This window comes from Homo sapiens, chromosome 5, assembly GCF_000001405.40.
Source record: "Homo sapiens chromosome 5, GRCh38.p14 Primary Assembly".
Taxonomy (NCBI): Eukaryota; Metazoa; Chordata; class Mammalia; order Primates; family Hominidae; genus Homo; species Homo sapiens.
The window spans coordinates 43,412,734-43,435,224 of NC_000005.10; the positions used below are offsets into that span (position 1 = coordinate 43,412,734).

General features: G+C 41.9%; 1 annotated feature.

The window, feature by feature from the left end:
• Nucleotides 9,494-9,788: an enhancer, noted in NCBI's record as "tiled region #10963; HepG2 Activating DNase matched - State 8:EnhW". NCBI's record gives its function as "activates a minimal TATA promoter and a strong SV40 promoter by Sharpr-MPRA in HepG2 cells {active_cell/tissue: HepG2}" and the evidence as "EXISTENCE:reporter gene assay evidence [ECO:0000049][PMID:27701403]".

Sequence of the window (22,491 nt, forward strand, 5' to 3'; positions counted from 1 at the left end):
ACACTTATGTTGAGACCCATTGCATAATCAGTTTTTAAGTAGCTTATGGAAACCATGAGTTTCTGGGGACAAGGGTGACAAGTCATAAAAAATGTATCTTTGTGGAAAGATATGGAAGTATTAAACCCCACTTTAGTCTTGGTTCACAGCCAAATTGTTTCCAGTGAAGCTTTTTACAATAGCTTATTTAGGAGAAAGACAGGAAGGGGGGCAATGCCTTGTAGAAAAGAGCCCAAGAGCAGGTGTGAAGAGGCATGAGCGCTAGTGCAGCTTTGCTGCCAATCAGCTTTGTGAATAAAAGCATGGGGTAGCATGAAGATAATTGGATTCTAATTGTTCCTCATCTACTAATAAGTTGTATAACCTCAGGCAACGTACTTAACTTTGCTGTAAATAACAAGTCAGACTAGATGACCTCCAAAGTCATGCCATGCTTCCTCTAGAACTGTGTTGTCCTATGTGGTAGCCGCTAGCCCACATGTGGCTCTTGAGCACTTGAAATATGAGTAGTCCAAACTCAGATGTACTATGGGTATAAAATTCACACTGGATTTCAAAGACTGGGTACAGAAAAAAATATAAAATATCTTGTTAATAATGTTTATACTGTTTATTGATTACATGATAGTATTTTGGACTTTTTGGGTTAAATAAAATATATTATTAAAATTAATTTCACCCATTTCTTTTTATGTTTTCAAATTACTGCTGTGGTTTGAATATTTTTTTCTTCTCCAAAGCTCATGTTGAAAATTAATCCCTAATAGTGCTGGGAGATAGGGCCTAATGGACAATGTTTAGGTTATGATGGCTCCACCCTCATGAATGGATGAATGCTACTATAAAAAGGGCTTGTGGGAATGGGTTGGTACCTTCTGCTCTTCTGCCAGGTGAGTACACAATGCTCCTTCTCTCCAAAAGATGCAGCAAAGTGGCATCATCTTGGAAATAGAAACTGAAATCACTGGAGCCTTGATCTTGGACTTCCCAGCCTCCATAATTGTAAGAGAATACATTTCTGTTATTTATAAATTGCTCAGTCTCGGGTTGTGGTGTTATGATATATATATTGGCTTTTATCCATGGTTCCTGGCTTATAACTCCCATAACCCTTGTTACAGTTTTTTTTTGTTGTTTGTTTGTTTGTTTTTTTTTTGAGACAGAGTCTCGCTTTGTTGCCCAGGCTGGAGTGAGTTTCACCATCTTGGCAAGATGCTGGTCTTGAACTCCTGACCTTGTGATCCACCCGCCTTGGCCTCCCAAAGTGCTGGGATTACAGACATGAGCCACTGTGCCCAGCCCAGTCTTTTTTTTATATTATAATGTTGGGGCACTTTAGGCTTCAGGAACAGGCCTCAGGAAACGGAATCTCTCTCTGACCTTCTGTTTTTCTTTCACCTGCCCAAGGCAGGACTCTAATCTGATTGTGGGTCATAAGATCCTCATTCCAGAAAGGGTTCTGTCCCATACTCTAGAGGAAGGAATGCTACACAGGCCAAGAAAAGCCTGAACAGGCAGGACTTGCTGGGTTTAGATTATGTGCTTTTTGTCTAATCACATTTCTACATGGTTGTTAATCATGCCTATGTAATGAAGCCTTTGTAAAACCCCAAAAGGGCAGAGTTTGGAGAGCTTCTGGATAGCTGAACATGTGGAGGTTCTTAGAGGGTGGCGTGCCCAGGGAAGGCATGGAAGCTCTGCATCCCTTCCCCCATACCTTGGCCTCAAGCGATCCTCCTGCCTTGGCCTCCCAAAGTGCTGGGATTACGGGCATGAGCCACTATGTCTGGCCTTCATCTGTATCTTCTGTACTGTCTCTTATAATAAACCGTTAAATGTAAGTATTTCCCTGAGTTCTGTGAGCCACTCCAGTGTTGCAGGAAGTCAGGAACCCCGAATGGAGGGACCAACCGGCTGAAGCCATGGCAGAAGAACATAAATTGTGAAGATTTCATGGACATTTATTAGTTCCCCAAATTAATACTTTTATAATTTCTTACGCCTGTCTTTACTGCAATCTCTGAACATAAATTGTGAAGATTTCATGGACCCTTATCACTTCCCCAATCAATATCCTTGTGATTTCCTATGCCTGTCTTTAATCTCTTAATCCCATCATCTTCATAAGCTGAGGAGGATATATGTCACCTCAGGACCCTGTGATGATTGCGTTAACTGCACAAATTGTTTGTAGAGTATGTGTGTTTGAACGATATGAAATCTGGGCACCTGGAAAAAAGAACAGGATAACAGCAATGTTCAGGGAACAAGAGAGATAACCTTAAACTCTGACTGCCGGTGAGCCGGGCGGAACAGAGCCATATTTCTCTTCTTTCAAAAGCAAATGGGAGAAATATCGCTGAATTATTTTTCTCAGCAAGGAACATCCCTGAGAAAGAGAATGTGTCAGTGAGGGTAGGCCTCTGAAATGGCCACTTCAGGGGGTGGCCATCTTTTATGGTCGAAGCTGTAGGGATGAAATAAGCCCCAGTCTCCCATAGTGCTCCCAGGCTTATTAGGATGAGGAAATTCCTGCCTAATAAATTTTGGTCAGACTGGTTGTCTGCTCTCAAACCCTGTCTCCTGATAAGATGCTATCAATGACAATGCATGCCCAAAACTTCATTAGCAATTTTAATTTTGCCCCGGTCCTGTGATCCTGTGATCTTGCCCTGCCTCCATTTGTCTTGTGATATTCTATTACCTTATGAAGCACGTGATCTCTGTGACCAACACCCTATTCATACACTCCCTCCCCTTTTGAAAATCACCAATAAAAACTTGCTGGTTTTACGGCTCAGGGGGCATCACAGAACCTGCCAACATGTGATGTCTCCCCTGGACACCCAGCTTCAAAATTTCTCTCTTTTGTACTCTGTCCCTTTATTTCTCAGACTGGCCAACACTTAGGGAATATAGAAAAGAACCTACGTGAAATATTGGGGGTGAATTTCGCCCGATATCTGGCTGAATTTCCCCCATACTCCAGCCAATTAATCAAACCCATAGAGAGGTTGTGGGAACCCCAACTTGGAGCCAGCTGTTCAGAAGTTCTGGAGGTCTGGACTTGTGACTGGTGGGAAGTAGGGGGTGATCTCATGGGACTGAGCCCTCAACCTCTGGTTCTGGCACTATCTCTTGGTAGATAGTGTCAGAACTGAATTGGAGGACACCTAGCTGGTGTCCGCTGCTTGGTGTATGCACCAATTTACCCCCTACATATTTGGTTATAGAAGTCTTCTGTGTTGATGATTTTTGTGGTATGAGAGCAGAGGAAAAACAGTTCGAGAGTTTTTTTCCTCAAACAGAGATATTCTGTTATAGCAGCATAAAACAGACTAAAACAATTACATATGTAATTGAAACCCAGAATATTTCAAATCACATGGGTAGATCACATATTTGCATTGGGTGTTGCTGCTTTTGAAGATCAAGAGCAGGTGTCCAAATTTACCCCAGCTATCAAGTTACATTTAACCAAGCTCCAATTCACTATCAAGAACCAGAGTTATAATAAGGAATGGGAGCTTTGGAGAGCAACAGACTTGCAAAGATAGTGACCTCTTGAATGAGAAGACCCACAGCAGCATTCCAGCCTTTCCACTAAGCAAAGGGACCTTACCACAGGTCTTGATAAAGGAGGACAGAGAACCAACCTGTGGAGGTGACAAAGACCTGTGAAATTACACACACCAGCCATAACCACAGGAGCCCCTCTGGACCAAAGCCGTGTGCTCTGAAGATAAGAGTCAGGAGGCTGGGTGTGGTGACTCATATCTGTAATCCCAACACTATGGGAGACCAAGGTGGAAGGATTGCTTGAGCCCAGGAGTTTGAGACCAGCTTGACCAACATAGCAACACCTCAGCTATACTAAAAATTTTTTTAAAAATTAGCCAGGCACTGGCATGCGCCTGTAGTCTCAGTTACTTGAGAGGCTGAGGTGGGAGGATCTCTTGAGCACAGGAGGTTGAGGCTATAGTGAGCTATGATCATGCCACTGTATAACACAGTTATTAGGGCACTGACAAGAAAGGCTGGACTGAATTTGAATGAGCCTGCAATTAGGCCCCCTGTATTCACTCGTGTACTTTTATTTGCTTTTGTATTTGACAAGACAGCTTCTCTTTCACTGTGTGCATATTTCTTCTGCTAGGAAATGTCACCTTGCCCCTGCCAGCAGGAAGACATAGGGACAGAATCCAGGGACTTGGAAAACAAAGGGACTCCTCCTTGGGTTGTTAGCACTCTCCCTTTCATCCACACTTTCCTGGGGGCACTGGAACAGGTTCGTGGGTTGGGTAGTGGTTACTAGAAGACAGCTGCTATAACATGTAGAACCAAAACTATTGAAGCACTCATGAAATTACCACCACTGGAATTACAGCCTTATGGGAGGGTATTATGTTACCCTGGTGCTAAAAAGCAAGCCTGACATCTGCCAACAGGAACCTGTAAACCACTAAAAACCCTATGCCATGTCATTTTTTTTTACTAAGTTTTTGTACTAAGACATGAATAAGAGGAACGCTGGGCACATCAGTTTTGTTTGGAGTGAGAGAAAAACTGAACCATGGGATTTTTGTCTGCAGAGAACACAGGACAGTTTATGATTATGGGGCATGTGTGTCTGTGTTTGAGAGGGATGCTAACTAGGCAGAAATGGACCACCGATAAACTAGGAAGGAGCCCCAAAGGGGTGGATTCAGATGAATAACTTTGATTACCTAAGTATTTTTCTCTGTGCACAGGGACTCTGCAAAAGAAAATGAGGAGACAGAAATGTGTGCCGTTAGGGCCCAGAGGATAGTTGAGCCATAGAATGAAACAGTTGAGGACCTAAAACTATGTCTGGTTTTGTGTTTTCCATTTATGAAATGGTCCTGGCTAAGAATATCTAGATGTAACCTTCCAGGAAAAAAACAAAAAAAATTACCAGGAAGAACCACATAGTTTTTACTTTAAAAAGAAGTAAATTGTAAATCTCAAATGATCATAAAAATACCTGCTGCCATCTCTGCACTGGGCAAAATGACCTGCTTGGATTAGAAGGATGATTTCCAAACAGTAACTTTCGCAAAATAAAATTAAGCCACTGAAGCTTTCTTGAATATTTGTCTTGGAAAATTAGTATATGGATGGAATATATATATATATGTGTGTATCTATATATATAAAAATTTTTTTTGAGATGGAATTTCACTCTTGTCACCCAGGCTGGAGTGCAGTGGCACGATCTTGGCTCACTGCAGCTTCTGCCTCCCAGGTTCAAGAGATTCTCCAGCCTCAGCCTCCCAAGGAGCTAGGACTACAGGCATGTGCCACCACACCCTGCTAATTTTTGTATTTGAAGGAGAGACAGGGTGTCACCATGTTGGCCAGGCTGGTCTTGAACTCCTGACCTCAAGCGATCCACCCGCCTTGGTCTCCCAGAGTGCTGGGATTACAGGCACGAGCCACCGTGCCCGGTCTGGATGGAATATTTTGAAAATCATATCAACATTTAAATATCCTAGGATAATTTATAATGTAATGGACCTTTTGATAAATCCTTTGGCATTGAGAATAATCACCTTTTAACTTGCATAATACTTGAGTTCTGATTTGTAGTTAATAGATCTGCTAAAGTAGGGCAGAGCCAAACAGAAGTCTCATATTAAAAATTGGGCTCCAGATACTTTATGACAGGCTGCTGAGTTACAAATTTTAAAAATAGTATGTTCTCTTTTGATTACAAAATTATACTAGGGCCATTGTAGAAAATTTGGAACATGTAAAAAAGTATAAAGGAGTAAACATTTTAAATATAAAAAAATAGCTTTCTTAATCTATTGGCATATATTCTTCCAGTCTTCTTTTTGTATGTATCTAGTAATTCATTCATTGACTAAACCTTGATAAAGGAACTGCTTACTATATGTGAGACACTGTGCTAGACATTGAGGACAAATGGTGAACAAAAGGGACATGGTCTCTGTCTGCAGGGAGGACACACAATTCAGTAAGCCACAGCAATAAAGTCTGCCTAGTGCAAACACAGGAGAAGCACAGTGCTTAGGGTGTTGTTGCAGAGGCACTTCACCTAGTCTGGGAATTAATCAGCTCTAAAACATGATTTTTTATTTTTTTAGATGGAGTCTCGCTCTGTCAGCCAGGCTGGAGTGCAGTGGCACAATCTTGGCTCACTGCAACCTCTGCCTCCTGGGTTCCAGCGATTCTCCTGCCTCAGCCTCCCGAGTAGCTCCCAGGCAAGTGCCACCATGCCCAGCTAATTTTTGTACTTTTAGTAGAGATGAAGTTTCACCATGTTGGCCAAGCTGGTCTTGATCTCTTGACCTCAGGTGATCCGCCACCTTGGCCTCCCAAAGTGCTGGTATTACAGACGTGAGCTACCATGCCTGGCCTAAAACATGATTTTTAACTGCTGCCTAGTTTAGTATTTCCTAATACAGAGGTATTGTACTTTATTGAACCAACCAACTGTTCTTAATGCTGAACATTAAGACTGTGGTTTGTTTTTTGAGACAGGGTCTTGCTCTGTCACCCAGTCTGGAGTGCAGTGGCACAATCTTGGTTTACTGCAGCCTTGACCTCCTGGGCTCAGGTGATCCTCCCACCTCAGCTTCCCGAGTAGTGGGGACTGTGGGTGCATGCCACCACACCTGGCTAATGTTTGTATTTTTTTATATAGATGGGTTTTTGCCATGTTGCCCAGGCTGGTCTCAAACTCCTGGGCTCAAATAATCCACCTGCCTCAGCCTCCCAAAATGTTGGGATTAAAGGTGTGAGCCAGGGCATCCAACCAAGATTGTGAATTTTTTCGACTATTATAAATAACTTCTGCAATGAATCACATTCAAACCTTTATACTTATTCTTTAGAATGCATTAAAAAAAATTTTTTGAAAAGCAGAATTGCAAAGTAAAAAGGAATCCTTATTTGAAAGGCTTTTGATACACATTCATGCTGTTAAGCTGAAACATTTACCCAATTTTAATTTTTTCTCGGCAACACTTTCCACATCTTCCCAGCATCTTGCAATGATGGCTCTTATTATATAAAGCCTATCACATGCATTACAATGGCTCTGGAGAGCATATGACAGGGCTCTTTCATCCTCAGGAAGACATTGTCAGGTATGGTTTTTCCCAAGTCAGGATTTAAGGACTTTTTTGGACAGAGGTTTCAAAGCCCTCAGTGCACCTTCTGTAAATAGGAAAAGGTATCCCTCTCTGGGTGGACAAAGCCTCCAGACCCACAGCTTCACAAGCAGAAGGTGCTTGCAGAAACAAAAGTCCCCTTTCCTCTATCAAAAAAAAAAAAAAGATGGGGAGTGGATACTTCTTTGGGTGGTTGCAAATGGGACGTATAACTTGGCAAGCAAAGCCCATCCTGCATATCCGCCCCACTCCTCCTTCCTCAGCAGGTAGCTTTCTGCAGTGCAAACTGCACAACCAACTGCAGCCCTGACCTTTCTGTTTTTTCTTGAGACTCTGATCTTGTTGCCTTTGCCTGGACAACCTTCACAGCCTTTCCCATACTATCTAGGAAACTCTTCCTCATTCTTTAAGGCACAGCTCCAGTGACACTCTGTGCATCTCTCTGCTGCCCATCCATGTTTCCCCATGCTCCGGTGGGTGACCCTCTGCTCTCACAACCTTCTAGGCTGGGCCTTGAGAGCAGGAAACCCCTCCCATTAGCTTTGGCTCCTCTAGTGCGGCTCAGGCCCAACACACAGAAGGTGCTATATTCCCGTTACTGAAAGGAATGCCTGTTGACTCACTGTTACTGTATTACGCCTTAGGTTTAGAAACTTTTGTTCTGACTAAAAATATACATGTTCTTTGTAAAATATATATATGAATATATAATTAGGTTTTACACTATATTATTTTTTGAAAATACAAAAATCGTCTATAACCAGATACCCAATTCATATTATAAACCATCATATAATCATTTACATATAATAATTTATAACCAACAATCCAATCAAATGTTAAATAACTCTTTTTTAACATTAGGATGTACATCGTTTCATATTTTAAAAATTTGTTTGTAAGTGTATTTTATTTTTACAAAAATAGAGTCAGGTAACACTTCCTGTTTTGTGACTTTTTTCAGTTAATAAATCAGGAATCATCACCCATAGCTATATCTATATATTTGTATAGTTTTTTTCTTTCAGTGGTTTGACAGTATTCAATCACATGGTTTTGTCATAGTTTATTTACTTGATTCTCCCAGTTGCTGGATATTTAGGTAGTTTGATTTTGTCTCTTTCCTGACGATTATCATTATTGTGGAAATGCTATGATACTCGTTCATATACCTTTTGTTCATCCATTTCAATATTTTCTTAAATAAATAAATTTACTTATTTATTTATTTTTCCGAGACAGAGTCTTGCTCTATTGCCCAGGCTGGAGTGCAGTGCTACAATCTCGGCTCACTGCAACCTCTGCCTCCCAGGTTCAAGTGATTCTCTTGCCTCAGCCTCCCGAGTAGCTGGGATTACAGGTGTGTGCCACCACGCCCAGCTAATTTTTGTATTTTTAGTAGAGACAGGGTTTTACCATGTTGGTCAGGCTGGTCTTGAACTCCTGACCTTGTGGTCCGCCCTTCTTGGCCTCCCAAAGTGCTGGGATTACAGGCGTGAGCCGCTGCACCTAGCTGTTCTTAAATAAATTCTTAGGGCCAGGCATGGTGGGTCTTGCCTGTATTCCCAGCACTTTGGAAAGCGAGGTGGGCAGATCACTTGAGCCCAGGAGTTTACCACCAGCCTGGGCAACATGGGGAAACACTGTCTCTACAAAAAATAAAAATAAATAGCTTGGCATGGTAGCGTGTGCCTGTAGTCCCAGCTACTCGGGAGGCTAAGGTGGGAGGATTGCTTGAGTCCAGGAGGTTGAGGCTGCAGTGAGCAGAAATTGCGACATTACACCCAGCTTGGGTGACAGAGTGAGACTCTGCCTTGAAAAAAATAAAATAAATTCTTAGAAGTGAAAATTGTCAAAGGGTACGCCCATTTAAATCACTTTTTCATATATAGTGCCAAATTATCTCACAGTATGGAAAATATCTCTGTACACGCCTCTCTCCTCCAATAGTGTGGGCTCAGTGAAGGCAGGATCTCCAGTGCCTCGCTCAGTGCTTGGCAAATGGTAGATGACTAGTGTTCACTGAATGAATAATGAGTTGGATAACTTAAATGAGAAGGCCTTCATTACATAAGCAAAACCTTGCCAGTGTGGTCACAGAAGTCTACAATTGGTACTCTTGGCCTTTTCTGAATATCTATAGCCTAATTGGCAATAATATTTTAAATTTTCATTTCTCAGAAGAGATTGTTTTATATACCACAGTGAAAATAATAAATTACTCTGGGAGGATAATTAGTTGTAAAAATATATCACCAGAAGATTTATAGTTTTGAAACAAGGACCAAGGGCAGTGAGAGAGAGAGAGAGAGAATTTCAGAAATCTGTATTTAGAAACAAGATGGAACATTTTCCAGCTGAGATAGCTTTTAGGACAGCCAGGTTTGATTCCTTTCAGTGCTGTGGTTTCATAGCTTTCACTCTGTAATTAAATGTGTGATGAGGTATGCCAAAGTAAACAGAGAGGAAAGAATGCAGGACTAGTCATTAGGAACAAAGTTTGAACCTGGGGCCAACGGAGGGAATTTCCCTTGCACTGACTTTCTTATTCCTGGTTAACGCTATAGTTTCCTTTCTGGCTTAAATTTATAACTTTTTCTTTTTTTTTTAGCTTTATGCTTTCCAGATATATGAATACAAATTCATTCCCATATCACCATCATCAGCTTTATTATATGCTAAAGCATAGAAGTTAGGTGACTTGCCTAAGGTCAGTCAATAATTTGGGAACCATAGAGCAGAATGGCACCTCGTGCTAATAGGAATAAAAACACCCTCAGGGAGATCAGAAAAAGGAGAGCAGTGAGGGATGATTAATGTTTCTAGATGTTAAAATATATTATAAATTTACTGTAATTAAGTTAGTGTATCACTGATGCATAAATCCAGAAGACAAAAGGCTCGTGCCAATTTAATATATTGCAAAGTTAGTATTTTACATCATGGAAAACCATGGATTATTCAATGAATGGTTTTGAAACAACTGGTTAACTGTGTAGAAAAAAGATAAAGTTAAACCTTTAAATTCCACGTATATTAAATATATAAAGTGAAGAATTAAAATGTAAAACCACCCAAAGAAAATATGGAAGAGGTTTTTTTTTTTTTAAGTTTTACAGCAGAGAAGGTCTTTCTAGGCATAAGACAAGACTCAGAACCATTAACAAAAAAAACTTGACCTTATAAAAAAGTGAAATTTCATCATGGATAAATAAAATTCAATAAAAGACAAACGGTGAAAAAAGTATACCAGGGGATTATATTTGTAAGGCAGAAGACAAAAGGCTCTTGTATTAAGAGGTCTTGTATATCAATAAGGAAGAAGCCACTGGCTCAATAGAAAAACAGGCTATGGATGGCCGGGTGTGGTTGCTCATGCCTGTAATCCCAGCACTTTTGGAGGCCGAGGTGGGTGGATCACCTGAGGTCAGGAGTTCGAGGCCAGCCTGGTCAACCTGGTGAAACCCCGTCTACTAAAAACACAAAAGTTAGCCAGGCATGGTGGCGGGTGCCTGTAGTCCCAGCTACTCAGGAGGCTGTGGCAGGAAATCACTTGAACCCAGGAGGCAGAGGTTGCAGTGAGCCAAGATTGCACCACTGCACTCCAGCCTGGGTGACAGAGGGAGACTCCATCTCAAAAAATATATATATATATAATAATAATAATAAAAGAAAAATAGGCTGTGGATATGGATGGGCAGTTCACAAAAATAAAAAGGGCTTATAAACTTTTTTTAAATGCTCAACATTATTCAAAATTACTTAAACACAAATAAAAACAAATGAGAGTGAGATACATTTTCACCTGCCTAACTGGCAAAGATCAAAGTGATTCATATTACCCGGTGTTAACAAGTATTCCATCATACATGGTTAGTAGGAGTATAAATTGGTGCAAATTTTTAGGATGTATTTGTCAATACCTATTAATTTAAAATATATACTTTGACTTAAGAGTTTCACTACTGAAATTTATGCTACAAATGCAGAAAAATGCATGCAAAATGTAAGCATAAGAATCTTATTATAGCATTATCTTAATAGCAAAATATTAAAACAACCTGCATATCTATCAGTAGTGAACTAGGAAAAATGATGGCACATCCACACAATGAACTGTAGTGCAACAATAAAAAGTAACATAAGGAAAGATCTCTGGCCTGGGTGTGGTGGCTCACCTGTAATCCCAGCACTTTGGGAGGCTAAGGCAGGTGGATCACCTGAGGTCAGGGGTTCAAGACCAGCCTGACCAACATAGTGAAACCCCGTCTCTACTAAAAAATACAAAAAATTAGCTGGGCATGGTGGTGGGTGCCTGTAATCCCAGCTACTTGGTAGGCTGGGGCAAGAGAATTGCTTGAACCCGGGAGGTGGAGGTTGCAGTGAGCCAAGATCGTGCCATTGCACTCCAGCCTGGGCAACAGGAGTGAAACTCTGTCTCAAAAAAAAAAAAAAAAAGACCTCTGGTCTTTAAGTGAAGAAAACAAGATGCAAAACAGTGGAAAATATCTATCTGTCTATCTCTCTACTATGTGTGTACATATAGGAAATTCGTATGGACAACACATAGATGGATATAAATGCTTACACATGCATAGATGATTGTGGAATGATAAAGCACAAGTTCTTTTTTTTAGATGGAGTCTCACTCTGTCTTCCAGGCTGGAGTGCAGTGGCGCAATCTTGGCTCACTGCAACCTCCACCTCCCACGTTCAAGTGATTCTTGTGCCTCAGCCTCCTGAGTAGCTGGGATTACAGGTGTGCACCACCATGACCAGCTAATTTTTGTATTTTTAGTAGAGACGGGATTTCACCATGTTGGCCAGGCTAACCTCAGGTGATCCACCTGCCTTGGCCTCCCAAAGTGCTGGGATTACAGGCATGAGCCACCGTGCCCGGCCAAAAGCACAAGTTCTTATTAGTGGTTGTTTCTGAGGAGGGTGAAGGTCTGGAATGGTAGAAAAATATCTCCTTTTCATTGTATATACTTTATTATGGTTTGAATTTTTACTACTTGCATTAGTTGCGTATTGTTGCATAACCAATTAGCAGAAACTTAGTGGCTTAAAACAACACCCATTTATTATACCATAGTTTGCATGGACCAGGAGTCAGGTATGGCTCAATGGGTCCTCTGCCCAGGGTCTCACGAGGCTGCAATTAAAGTGTCGGCCTGGACTGCAGTTTCATCTTAGGTTTGGGGTCCCTTCCAAGCTCAGGTGGTAGTTGGCCTCGTTCACTTCTTCACAGCTGTTGAGCTTACAGCCGCTTGCTTCTTCAACACCAGCAGGTCAGAGTCTCTGATCTCTAGATCCTCTTTTAAAGAGCTCACTTCATTAGGTTAGCTCCACTCAGAATAACATCCTTTTGAATTCACTTAAAATCAACTTTAGGGACTTTATATCTGCAAAATTCCCTCACTTTTGCCATATTCTATCAACTAGAAGCGAATCACTGCTTCCATCTGGATTCAAAGTGAGGGAATAATACAATGGCGTGGACAGCAGGGAGCAGGAGTCACAAGGGCCTTCTTAGAATTCTGCCTACCACATTAGTATTACCCATAATAACCATCACCCAAACCACCACAACATATGGAATACTTACATAGAGCTTATTTTGTAGTGGGCACTGTTTCAAACATTTTGCATGTATTAAGTCACTTAATGATCAGAACAATCCTATGAAGTAGGTATTCTTATTACCTTCATTCCAGGGATGAGTTTAACTTGCCCAAGGTCAAAGAGCTTATAAGTGCTGAAGCTAGCACTAGAACCCAGGCAGTCTATGTCCAGAGTTCTGTGTTCCTCATTATATTATGTATACATTTTTCAAATACAATGTTTAAAAAAAAAAAACTTGCTTTCCAGCCTGGGCAACAAAGTGAGACCCGGCTCTACAAAAAAATCAAAAAAATTAGCAGGGTGTGGTGACACACACCTGTGGTCCCAGCTACATGGGAGGCTGAGGTGGGAAGATCACTTGATCCCAGGAGGTTGAGGCTGCAGTGAGCCTTGTTTGGGCCACTACACTCCAACCTGGGTGACAGAGACACACTCTGTCTCAAAAAAAAATTTTTTTTAAGTTTTTCAGTTACTAAAGTTCTATAACAAATATGTCAAACTTGTGGCTTAAACAACCACAGCATTTATTTTGCTCATGAATCTGTTCTTTAAACAGGGTAAGGCTTGGCAGGGATGACTCATGTCTGCCCCAGTCAGCACCAGTTGGAGGGTTTGGAGGCTGGGAGCTGGAATCATCTGGAGGACTCACCTCATTCCCATATCTGGCAGTTGATGCTGGCTGTCGACCAGGAACCTTAATTCCTGTCCACATGGGCCCCTCCATGTGGCTAGCTTGACTACCTCACAGCACGGTGACTGGGTTCCAAAGTTAAGTATCCCATGAGTGAGAGAGAGAGCCAGATGGAAGCTATGTTGCCTTTTAGGTTCTGTCTTGGAAATTAAGTTCACTTCTGTTGCATTTGATTAGTCAGAGCAGTCACAAAATCCTATCCAAGTTTAAGGAGAGGGAAAATAGACTTCACCTCTTGACGTAGAGTGTCAAGGTTCTGTAAGAGCATGAGGGCCTGAAATATTGCTGTCAACCTTCCACAAAAAGGTTGATTAATTTATTCCCCTCTCTCACAGCTAGCCTGTAACCAAACCATTCCAATAATTTATCTATCCTTTTCTTTAAAAGCATCAAGAAAAAGATGCCACAACCTTAAGTAATAAAACATCAAAGTATTGTCCATTTTTCTTTTTCTTGTTTTAGTATTCCTAAAGCACTTTTCCCCTTCTGCTTCCTTTAGGGCAGTGGTCCCCAACCTTTTTGGCACCAAGGACCGATTTCATAGAAGACAATTTTTTCCATGGACGGGATGGTTCCAGGATGAAACTATTCCACCTCAGATCATCAGGCATTAGATTCTCATAAGGAGGGTGCAGCCTAGATCCCTAGCATGTGCAGTTCACAATAGAGTTCAAGCTCCTATGAGAACCTAATGCTGCCGCTGATCTGACGGGAGGCAGAGCTCAGGCTATAATACTTACTTGTCTGCCACTCACCTCTTGCTGTGCAACCAGGTTCCTAACAGGCCATGGAATGGTACTGGTCCATGGCCTTAGAGTTGGGGACCCCTGCTTTAGAGTGAAGAACAAGTGAAATTTTAAGCTTAGGTATTGGTCACTGACTTTGATGATTGTTTTCCTTCTTTGGGCTGACACTATAAGGCTCTTCAGGGAAGAATTCTGAGTTAGAAATGTCTAGGACACCTCAGCTCATCTTCTTAAAAAAAAAAAAAGGGAGGAAGGATGAAATAGATACAGCCATTCAGTCATTCATTCATTTAACAAAAATGTGTTGAGTCCCCACCTTGTGCTGAGCACAGCCCTAGGGAATGTATCCATTCTAGAGATGGAGACAACGTCTGTATCCTAGAGATGGAGACAATGTGTCTGCTCTCAAGGTGATTTTCTTTCATGGGGAAAGTCAAACACAACCACTCTTACAGGTCTTCAGCTGGGTCTTCGTCTTGTCTAGGATTGACTAGACAAGCCTTGTAATTAGAACACGTGTGGACATGCACCACTTATTATCAGTTAGTGTAGTAGGCTCAGTCAAGGCAAACACCATCTTAGTATAGTAGCCCCAGGATATTATTAGTTAATACAAAACCAGTTCAAAGATACGTTAGTGAAAGGGACCAATTAGTCCCTCTCAGCAGTCCAGTTGACTGCTGGAGTTCTCAAAACTAATGTAAGCATTCAATATTAATTATTAAAATTAACAATGCAGTTCCCAAACTATGTGCTGAGGCAACCTAGAATGCTGAAACAAACTCAGTGGTGCTGTAAGATATTTTAAAATTTTCAGAGAAACAGAGACATCTGTTGGACATGGCACAACTAATACCATTAGGTTGTTCAAATCTAACTAAATAACAGAAACTGGCCAGGCGTGCTGACTCACATCTGTAATCCCAGCACTGTGGCAGGCTGAGACGGGCGGATCACCTGAGGTCAGGAGTTTGAGACCAGCCTGACCAACATGGTGAAACCCCGTCTCTACTAAAAATACAAAAATTAGCCAAGCATAGTGGCAGTCACCTGTAATCCCAGCTACTCGGGAGGCTGAGGCAGGAGAATGGCTTGAATCTGGGAGGTGGAAGTTGCAGTGAGCCGAGATTGCGCCATTGCATTCCAGCCTGGGTGACAGAGCGAGACTCTGTCTCAAAAAACAAACAAAAACAGAAACTGTTATTTCTTTCGGACTAGTGGTGCAGTTAAAAAAAATTACTGAGACATTAAGGGCATCAACTGTGAGCCAAGAAAGTGTGGGAACCTCTAGTATGCCTCATCCATCAATTTTCCTGATATTTCCTTGTTTTTTTTCTAAGTGAACATGTACTGTTTGAGTCATTCTTTCTTTGGGAGAACATCTTCACCTGCCTGGGCCTCCTGCAGGGCCTGCTGCCTGGGCCATCAGAGGGCCTCTCCATGTGGACATCATTTCCAATCTCTCCCCACTGCTACTACCTCCCTGCAGCCTCCTCCCCATAGCTGACCTGGCTTCAGTGTTCCTTCACCCCAGGCTCTGGCATCCCTCTGTGGAAATAATCAAGTGTTAATCCTTATCAGTGTCATCTGGGGATATGCAGAATTTGCATCCTGGTCCCTTCCTCTCTGCCAAGTTATTGTTACTCAGCAAAAGGTAAGGGTGAGGGAAACACTGTGAAGTTCTTCCCTTCTGGGCTATGGTTGGTTCAGCATCCCCAAATTAATTTTCTTTTGAACTCCCAGTGAGGTGAGAAAGTCCTATCCCTTTCACTAACGTATCTTCGAACTGATTTCTTATTAACTAATATCCTAGGGCTACTATACTAAGATGGCGTTTGCCTTGACTGAGCATACTACACTAACTGATAATAAGTGGTGCATGTCCACACATGTTCTAATTACAAGGCTTCTTTCCTGGCCTTTGTGGTGGTGGTGTGGGGCGGGGGCAGGGGTGGGGGGATGAAGTAGCTGAATAAGAAAAGGACAGGAAAAGCATTTAGCTCTTGCCACCACATTAATGTGATAACCACACAACAGAAGGATGCAGAAGAATGTACTCAAGTGGGAGCCGTAGCTCCGTCTTGGAGTCAGATTGAGAAGGTCTAAGATATTCTACAGAACAGGACACACTTGAGGAACTCTCTCTTAAGTAACGGCTACCCAGATATTTAAGTGGTGGAGGAAGAGCTTCTCGGAGAACAGCATGTGCATAGGGAGCCAGACCATGTTCAGTTCTAGGCACTGCAAACAGTCCAGCGCTCTGCGCAGAAGCTGGACTTGATCCAAAAAGGCTACAATCCAGGGGGCAGGGAATGTGTCTGGTTTGCTTAAGGTAGGGGTGACTTTTGTTTACATATTATTTTTAGTGGGTTTTTTGTTGTTGTTGTTGCTGTTTTGGTTTTTTTGTTTGTTTGTTTTTTTGAGACAATCTCTCTCTGTCGCCCAGGCTGGAGTGCAGTGGCCCAGTCTCGGCTCACTGCAACCTCTGCCTCCCAGGTTCAAGTGATTTTCCTTCCTCAGCCTCCCTAGTAGCTGGGACTACAGGGGCCCACCACCTGTATTTTTGTAGTTTTATGCCCCGCTAATTTTTGTATTCTTAGTAGAGATGGGGTTTTACCACATTGGCCAGGCTGGTCTTGAACTGACCTCAAGTGATCAGCCCGCCTTGGCCTTCCAAAGTGCTGGGATTACAGGCATGAACCAGTGCACCCAGCCTTCAGTGCTTTATTTTTAGATTGTAAATAGCCCATATTAAGAGGCAGCTCACATTATACTGAGTCTGTATAGAGGCTTCTTAGCTGCTATGCCTCTAGCCTCTGAAGTTCTTGATGGGAAGTGTACATAGCTAAAAGACACCAATTAAAATCTGGGAGCTTTTGGATTCAGCTCCCAATTATCACCTCTAGAAAGAAAGGCAAGCCTGATCATGCCATTCTCAGGCTTAAACCTTGCAATGCTTCTGCATTGCCTCAAGGTAAGTTCCTAAGTCCTTAAAAGGTATACAGGGTTCTCCAGGACCCAGTTCTGGTTAGCTTACCGACTTCAACTGTTGTCACTCTCCCACCTCAAACACTCTGCTCCTGCGTTTCCTACAACCCCACTGACCAGCTGCCACTCAAGGCTTTTGTAAATGCTATTCCCTCTGCCTTCAGGGAGCTTCTCAGCAGTTCTCCATCACCTTATTCACTTTCACCTGAAGACCTCTTGCTCAGCTATTGGTTCTCAGGGAGCTTCCCTGTCTGCCCTAGGGGGACCTCCAAGCCCCTGTGCTTGACCTGACTGCAGCACTTACCACCCTATACTGAAATGTCCTGTCTCCCTGTCCATCTTCCAACTAGCCTAGGAGATATTTTAAGATGGGGCCTGGTTTTTTCCACCATTAGAATATTAGTTTTTAATACAAGGCCTGCTACATTATAGGAACACATTAAACATTTGTTCAATTGCTAACTGAACCAGTATTCTGTGAGGGCAAATATTGTATTCATTTTCATCAAAAGGGCTATGAACGTTCAACTGATAAGACTTTTTTTTTTTTTTTGGCAACGGAGTCTCACTCTGTCACCCAGGCTGGAGTGCAGCGGCATGATCTTGGCTCACTGCAACCTCTGCCTCCCAGGTTCAAGTGATTCTCCTGCCTCAGCCTCCTGAGTAGCTGGGATTACAGGCATGTGCCACCACACTGGCTAATTTTTGTATTTTTAGTAGAGATGGAGTTTCACCATGTTGGCGAGGCTGGTCTTGAGCTTCTGACCTCAGGTAATCCGCCCACCTCAGCCTCCCAAAGTGCTGGGATTATGGTGTGAGCCACCACGCCTGGCCCTGATAAGACTTTTATGAATTAAAATTTTTTTCATGGAGAATAGAGAAAGGGTTTTTCTAAAGATGCAGTAGTTCTACATGGAGAAAATAAAGGAAAAATACAACCAAAAGTGTTGATATTGAGGGAGAAAAACATATCCCAAGAATGAACTTAACTGACAAGGCAAGTTGCAGGCCATTTCCCCAGAATTTGAGGAGCCCCAGCATTACTTGGACAAAGAGCTGGAGAGTATAAAAAAATAGAGCAGGAAGGAATCTTGGGAAGCATCTGGCCTATCCCTCGTTGGCTCAGAACAGATGAGTGACTTCTCCAAAGACACCAGGAACACAGCGATGTCCAGGTCATAGTGACTTTAGAAAGTGGTTTCAGGAGTACGGGAGGTGGCCCACCAGCTTGTATTAAACAAACAAAACCACTAACAAACTACAACAACTGAAAATACTGAAGCAATCATAGCAGGTAGAATATAGTAATGGCCTCCAAAGATTCATCCCAGTCCCTGGAACCTGGCAAAAGAGGCTTTGTAGACTTGATTAGAACCTTCAGCTGAGGAGATGATCATGGATTATCCAGGTGGGCCCAGTCTAATCACATGGGTTCTTAAATCAGAGAACCTTTCCTGGCTGTGGTCAGAGGAGGGTGTGACTATGGAAGGAGGATCAGGCAGACGTGATATGAAAAGGGATTGACCTGCCATTGCTGGCTTTTAAGACTGAATAAAGGGCCACAAGCGAAGGCCTGCAGGTTGTCTGAGTCAGTTTGGGCTGCCATAACAAAGTACCATAGACTAGCCAGGCGTGGTGGCTCACACCTGTAATCCCAGCACTTTGGGAGGCCAAGGCGGGTGGATAACCTGAAGTCAGGAGTTCGAGACCAGCCTGACCCACATGGTGAAACCCCCGTCTCTACTAAATACAAAAAATTAGACAGGCATGGTGGCATATGCCTGTAATTCCAGCTACTTGGGAGACTGAGGCAGTAGAATTGCTTGAACCCAGGAGGCGGAGGTTGCATTGAGCCGAGATTGCACCATTGCACTCCAGCCTGGGCAACAAGAGCAAAACTCCGTCTCAAACAAACAAACAAAAAAACTAAAACCATAGACTAGGTGGCTTATAAACAATAAAAATTTATTTCTTATAGTTCTCAAGGTTGAGTTTCTGATGAATGTTCTCTTCTGAGTTGCACGCACTGAATTCTCACTATAACCTCCCAGGGTAAAAGAGGCAAGAGAACTCTCTGGAGTCTCTTTTATAAAGGTACTAATCCCATTCATGAGGGCTCTGCCCTACCAACGGCCCCACCTACAAATGCCATCACAGGGGGATTGTATGCATTTTGGGGGGGATACACTGAGTCTATAGCACAGGTGGTATCTAGAAGCTGAAAAAGACAAGGGAGCAGATGCTTCCCTAGAGCCTCCAGATGGACACTTTCCTGCTGATGCCTTCATTTTAGTTCAGTGAGACCTGTGTTGGATTTCTGACATACAGAACTACAGGATAATAAATGTATCTTGTTTTAAAGCACTAAGTTTGTGGTCATTTATTACAGCAGCAAAAGAAAAGTAATACTGGATACACAGACAGAAACTCATACCCTATAACCCCTAAGCAGTCCAAGTAGGCAGAATTCCCCACTTCCTTACTTCCTTTCCACCCTTTTGTAGTTTTCAAAGATACCTTGAAGTTGATTTTCATCTGATCTCACCTGGATTGGTATGTGGAGAAGGAAGCAGAGGGCTTGCAGAGTGGTTTGTCTTAGATGTCACACCCTGGGAATGGGAGAGCCCTTTCCAGGATTGGCCTGGGGCCCAAGCCAACTTCTCTGGAGGCCAGATTGCACAAGAGCAACCTATGCCAATCATTTTAGAATCTAGAGAAACATCAGAGTCTCTGCTGGCCAGGGAACCAGGCCTACCACTGAGAGACTATTGTCAGACATTGAGCAATCAGCTGTGGACCTCCAGGAAGAGGGAACTGTGGTATTTACACATGACTTTCCAAGAGAAACAGGGCCTCTGCAGCATACAATGTGTTCCTAATAGTACTCTCAGGAATACTTTACTACTGTCATTAAGATATGTTATATGTGCCTGTTATGTAACCACTGTCTCACATTTTAGACTTTATTTAGTATCACCCAGATATTTAGGGGAAATTTTCTCTCTGCCTTCCACTTTATGTGCATGCTGTCAATATCACTGACCTGGAAACTTGGGCAGTGCTCAATATAAGACCAATTAATACCAAATGAGTAAGGAGGTGTGAATTCAGATGACCACCTTCTTTGAAGGCTCACACAGAGGTCTTAGGAAGATCACGATATGTGCTAGACCTCTAAACTGATATTCCCCTCCTGTTCAGGCATTTGTGGGGTTGATGGAATTGGAATGCTGCCCAGACCTTGAAGCAACAATATTAATTGCGATACTGGATATGTAAGTCAAACTGACTCCTTGCAAAGTCAGAAGAAATGGTAAAATGCTTCATACACCCTTTCATTATTATTGTTATTTCTGGCAAGTAAAGAACTGCCAAGGAGATGCAGGTGGCAGAACCTTTGATTTATGCAACGTGCAAAGTAATTGTGGAGACTGATTATTAACATGAGTTTCTCAGATCAATGAAATGGCTGTGAAGTTTCTGGCTTGGAATAGATCTTGGTACGTAGCTAGAGTCTGATGAAATAACAAATTAAATAATAAGGACAGCTATGTGGGCTTAACTGAGGTGCTGAATCCAATGTGGAAACAGAGTAGCTTATCAGTAGCTCGGCTCACTGACCCACGAGAACAATCAGCACCAGTCTGAGGTGTGTTACAGGGAGAGTCAGGTGCTGGTGTCAGGCCAGAGCTGCTCTGTAGACTGAGAATTGCATTTGTGATAGCAAATTGAGATACCTCTATGTCATATAAAAGTATACATGCTTATTGTAAAACATGATACAATATATAAAGTAAAAGCAGAAGTTCCTTATGGCCCACTCCCCGAACTCCTGAGGTGACCACTGTAAATTGCCTGGTAGCTAGGTTTCAGAATTGTTTTCTACACTACACACATGTATATGCCTATTTTACAAAAATGGAATCATCTTGTTTTATTACTGGCCTTTATTTTTAAAATATTTCATACAGACATTTTTGCATATCATTACATATATCTACTTCATCCATTTAAATGATTTAGCCATTAGTATTCCATTGTTTGCACAGTAGCTTAGGCTACTAATCCTCTAGTTAGACTTTCAGGTGATTTCCAGTTTTGTCTCATTTTATTTTTGCCATCTGAAGCAACCAATATAAATCCCTCTCCTTTGTATACTTACTTGTTTGTTTCTTAGAATAAATTCCTAAAATAGAATTTCTGAGTGAAATGGCTTGTACTTTTAAAACATGTTACCAAATTTATCTCTAGCAAGAAAGTGTGACTTTATTGTTTCACCAACAGTGCCCATTTCCTTACACCTCTTGCCAATACTATTATCAATCTTTTTAAAATGTACCAAACTGAGAATTTTAAAAAACCCTTGTTGATGTTTTATTTTGCATTTTAGTTACATTAAATATCTTGGGATTTACATTTTAATAGATTGTTTCTATAACATAACAATTACAATGCTTGTAATAATTTGCAATAATCAGAAATAAAAATTTCTTTCTTTCTTTTTTTTCTTTTTTGAGATGGAGTTTTGATCTTTTTGCCCAGGCTGGCGTGCAATGGTGCAGTCTTGGCTCACTGCAATGTCTGCCTGCCGGGTTCAGGTGATTTTCCTGCCTCACCCTCCCGATTATCTGGGATTACAGGTGCCCGCCACCACGCCTGGCTAGGTTTTTTTTTGTTGTTTTTTTTTTTTTGTATTTTTAGTAGAGATGGGTTTCACCATGTTGATCAGGCTGGTCTCGAACTCCTGACCTCAGGTAATCCACCTGCCTCCGCCTCCCAAAATGCTGGGATTACAGGTGTGAGCCACTGCGGTTGGCCAGAAATAAGCATTTCTTGATGTAACTGAGAAGTTAAAAGTACTCCAATCACAAAATATCTATAAATTCATAACAAAACTAGGTGAAAATCAACCTGTTACCACATCTGCAGATTCCATTAGAATTAAGTTCAGTATGTCTTTTCATCACGTGAAACAGACATAATAAGTCACATAGAAGAAATTACAAATTAAGATATTCCTTAAGGGCTCTAGCTTTAGAACTTTGTGAATAAAATTTAGATCAACATTTTCTTTTTTTAAGGTCATGATTTGGGCCCAGAGGAAAAACCATAGGAAAACAAATAGAAAACTTTTGACCGACACATTATTATTATTATTATTATTATTATTATTATTATTATTATTATTTGAGATGGAGTCTGGCTCTTGTCGCCCAGGCTGGAGTGCAATGGCATGATTTCGGCTCACTGCAACCTTTGCCTCCTGGGTTTAAGTGATTCT